The sequence below is a fragment of the Homo sapiens genome, chromosome 8, assembly GCF_000001405.40.
Source record: "Homo sapiens chromosome 8, GRCh38.p14 Primary Assembly".
In the NCBI taxonomy this organism is placed as follows: domain Eukaryota; kingdom Metazoa; phylum Chordata; class Mammalia; order Primates; family Hominidae; genus Homo; species Homo sapiens.
In genome coordinates this window covers 41,070,503-41,074,398 of record NC_000008.11, presented here as the reverse complement: position 1 = coordinate 41,074,398, position 3,896 = coordinate 41,070,503, and the positions used below count along the sequence as shown (strand labels likewise).

Genomic DNA, 3,896 nt, shown 5'->3' with positions numbered 1-3,896 from the left:
CATAAAATCTCTACACAGTCACCTCCTTCTCTGATCAGATAATTAAAGTAGTATTATTCTTGTTTACAAAATAAGTCTTATCTCATTGTGGCCTGATTATTTACCTAAGTGCAGCAAGAATAGTAATTGACTACATAGGTCTATTAAAGTTTGTTTTGTAGCAACTGTTATAAGGAATCTCACATTAGATTTTAAAAGCCTATTGGGGCCATGAAGCCAAACCAAGAACTCAACATTAGACTTTACATGCTGTACCTATAGATTTGGGTGAATTTCTCATTTCTCTTTTGCTTTTATTTGTTTGTTTGTTTGTTTGTTTTTTTGAGATGGAATCTCACTCTGTCACCTAGGCTGGAGTGTGATGGCTTGATCTCTGCTCACTACAACACCTGCCTCCCAGGTTCAAGCAATTCTCCTGCCTTCGCCTCCCGAGTAGCTGAGACTACAGGTGCATGCCACCACACGCAGCTAATTTTTGTATTTTTAGTAGAGACAGGGTTTCAACACGTTGACTGGGCTGGTTTCAAACCCCTGCCCTCAGGTAATACAATCGCCTTGGTTTCCCTAAGTGCTGGGATAACAGGCATGAGCAATCACGCCCCGCTCCTCCATTTTCAAGATGCACAAAATATCTTAAGCTTCTTTATTTTTATTTTTCCTTCTTCTTTTCTTTTCTTTTTCTTCCTTTTTTTTTTTTTTTTTTTTTTTTTGAGACAGAGTTTCACTCTTGTCACCCAGGCTGGAGCGCAATGGCGTGATTTTGGCTCACTGCAACCTCCGCCTCCCTGGTTCAAGCGATTCTCCTGCCTCAGCCTCCTGAGTAGCTGGGATTACAGGTGCCCAACACCATGCCCTGCTAATTTTTATATTTTTAGTAGAGACAGGGTTTCGCCGCGTGGGCCAGGCTGGTCTTGAACTCCTGATCTCAGGTGATCCACCTGCCTTGGCCTCCCAAAGTATGGGGATTATAGGCGTGAGCCACTGTGCCTGGCCTATTTTTATTTTTTCATACACCAAAAACCATGGGGCGGTTTTTGGCCTGCCAGGAAGTGGCTTTCCTTACTCACTTGGAATGCTGGGAATGCGGCAAGCCACATACCATGCTGATATTTGCCAGAGAACTTTATGAATAGTGGCTCCATAAGTCAACCTTAGTTCCATAAAACTGGTCATACCTGATTCTATACACACTGTGAAATGGCTCAGATCTGAATAGGAAACATTTGTCATCTATTGCCTCTAAGGGCAGCCACTATAAGACTTCAAAGGAACCTTGGTCTCCACAAACTTTTATCTTAACCTGAACATTTCCTTTCTATCAATCCCAGGTCTTTAGACAAATTCAACCAATGGTCAACCAGAAAATGTTTAAATTTACCTGTAGCCTGGAGGCCTCCCCCGACCTCTGCTTCGAGTTGTCCTTCCTTTCTGGACCAAACCAATGTATTTCTTAAATGTATTTGATTGATGTCTCATGCCTCCCTAAAATGTATGAAACCAAGCTGCACCCTAGCCACCTTGGGCACATGTTCTCAGGCCCTCCTGAAGGCTGTGTCATGGACCATGGTCACTCATATTTGGCTCAGAATAAATCTTTTCAAATATTTTACAGAGTTTGACTCTTTTTGTCAAAAATTACATCATTATTTTCTACTATCAGCCAAAGCAGCATTAAGAATTATCATGGGTGGCAAAAAATTTAATATATTTCTTGGTATTTTATAACTTTCCTGAAATATTTATATTAATAATTATTTCTCATGCAAATATAACACAAAGAAGATTATCACTTCTATTTAACAAAGATTTTCATGTAATTTGACACATCAAAAAAACTAATGATTTTTGAACATTCCTGTTTTTAGAAGGTAAAAGAACAAATCCTTTGAGATTTTCCAGGAGGCCTCTGAGAAATCTAAGTCAGTTTGAATTACAGATTTCATTTAGGATTTGGTTTTGGGAAGGCAATATATCATAAGTTGTCAAAATGTCAAAAGGTTTAAACACTTGATCATAGGTCACCATGAAATAATATCTAACCAAAGTGACAATAAAATATTTTAAAGGTAACTATAGAAGGTAACATGATTTAAAAACAAAAAAACAAAGCTTAGATTTTTATTTTTATTTTTTATCTGTTGCCCAGGCTGTAGTGAAGTATTGTGATTATGACTCACTGTAACCTCAAACTCCTGGCCTCAAGCAACCCTCCCACCTTGTCCTCCCAAAGTGCTGGGATTACAGATGTGAGCCACTGTACCCAGCCCCAAAGCCTAGCTTTTAAAAGGAAGAAAACTCACTTCTCTTAAATAATTGAGGAGATGATAAAGATAACACAACAAATTATTCTGATGAAACACAGAATCTGTTTCCTAGATGGATTATTTAAAAAGTAAAGAAAAACCTACTATGACCTTTTATTAGAAGCAGACCAATAATTCAAAAATATGTTGTCATTTTTTTTTTTTTTGAGACATAGTTTCACTCTTGTTGCCCAGGCTGGGGTGCAGTGGCACGATCTTGGCTCACTGCAACCTCTGCCTCCCAGTTTCAAGTGATTCTCCTCCCTGAGCCTCCTGAGTAGCTGGGATTACAGGCGCCCACTACCATGCCTGGCTAATTTTTTGTATTTTTAGTAGAGACGGGGTTTCATCCTTTTGGCCAGGCTGGTCTCAAACTCCCGACCTCAGGTGATCCACCTGCTTCGGCCTCCCAAAGTGCTGGGATTACAGACATGAGCCACCATGCCTGGGCCATGTTGTCATTTTTTTTTTTTTTTTTTTTTGAGACAGAGTCTCGCTCTGTCCCTCAGGCTGGAGTGCAGTGAGTGGCGCCATCTTGGCTCACTGCAAGCTCCGCCTCCCGGGTTCAAGCCATTCTCCTGCCTCAGCCTCCCGAGTAGCTGGGACTACAGGCGCCCCCCACCACGCCAGGCTAATTTTTTGTATATTTAGTAGAGAAGAGGTTTCACCATGTTAGCCAGGATGGTCTTGATCTCCTGACCTCGTGATCTGCCCACCTCGGCCTCCCAACGTGCTGGGATTACAGGCCTGAGCCACTGCGCCCAGCCAATGTTGTCACTTTTAAGAGAGAGAAAACCAAATTCTAATTTTGCATCAGTGCACTGTTGACATTAAGGCTCATTCTAATACCTTATAAGTAAATCCATTTCATCTTGACAAGTTTGACCACGTGAGATAAGATTCTCTTTCTCTTTTCCATGGACCTTTTACAGCTTGTTATATCCATTCAGTTGTACACTTTTCTCTTTCTCATTCTAGAACAACATTTAAATAACCACTATACAACCGCGTTAGGAAAAAATACTCTTTTTCCCTTAACAAAAAAACCCATCTTACATCCTTTGTATCCTTTGCATAACATACAAAATTGTTTTGTTTGTTTGTTTTGTCTTTTTGAGATGGAGTTTTCCTCTTGTTGCCCAGGCTGGAGTGCAATGGGGCGATCTTGGCTTACTGCAACCTCCGCCTCCTGGGTTCAAGCAATTCTCCTACCTTATCCTCCCAAGTAGCTGGGATTACAGCTGTGGGTCACCACGCACAGCTAATTTTGTATTTTTAGTAGAGATGGGGTTTCACCACGTTGGCCAGGCTGGTCTCGAACTCCTGACCTCAGGTGATCTTCTCTCCTCGTCCTCCCAAAGTGCTGGGATTACAGGTATGAGCCACTGAGACGGAGTTTCACCATGGCCACTGAGCCTGGCCTCAAACTTGTTTCTCTTTACCCTTATTTCTAGTAGTTTCATTTACACATTATAATTTTTATCTATTTGTAACCTTTATTTTGCAGAGAAAACTAAGGAGTAGACAGTTGTGAATTGTTTGTCATATGCTGGCATTTCGTAGCAGATTAGCACATTTTATGAATATATCATC

General features: G+C 40.8%; 1 annotated feature.

Moving 5' to 3' along the window:
• Nucleotides 878-1,401: an enhancer, noted in NCBI's record as "NANOG-H3K27ac-H3K4me1 hESC enhancer chr8:40930517-40931040 (GRCh37/hg19 assembly coordinates)". NCBI's record gives its function as "activates a minimal SCP1, AML or CMV promoter by ChIP-STARR-seq in primed H9 embryonic stem cells {active_cell/tissue: H9 hESC(primed)}" and the evidence as "EXISTENCE:reporter gene assay evidence [ECO:0000049][PMID:30033119]".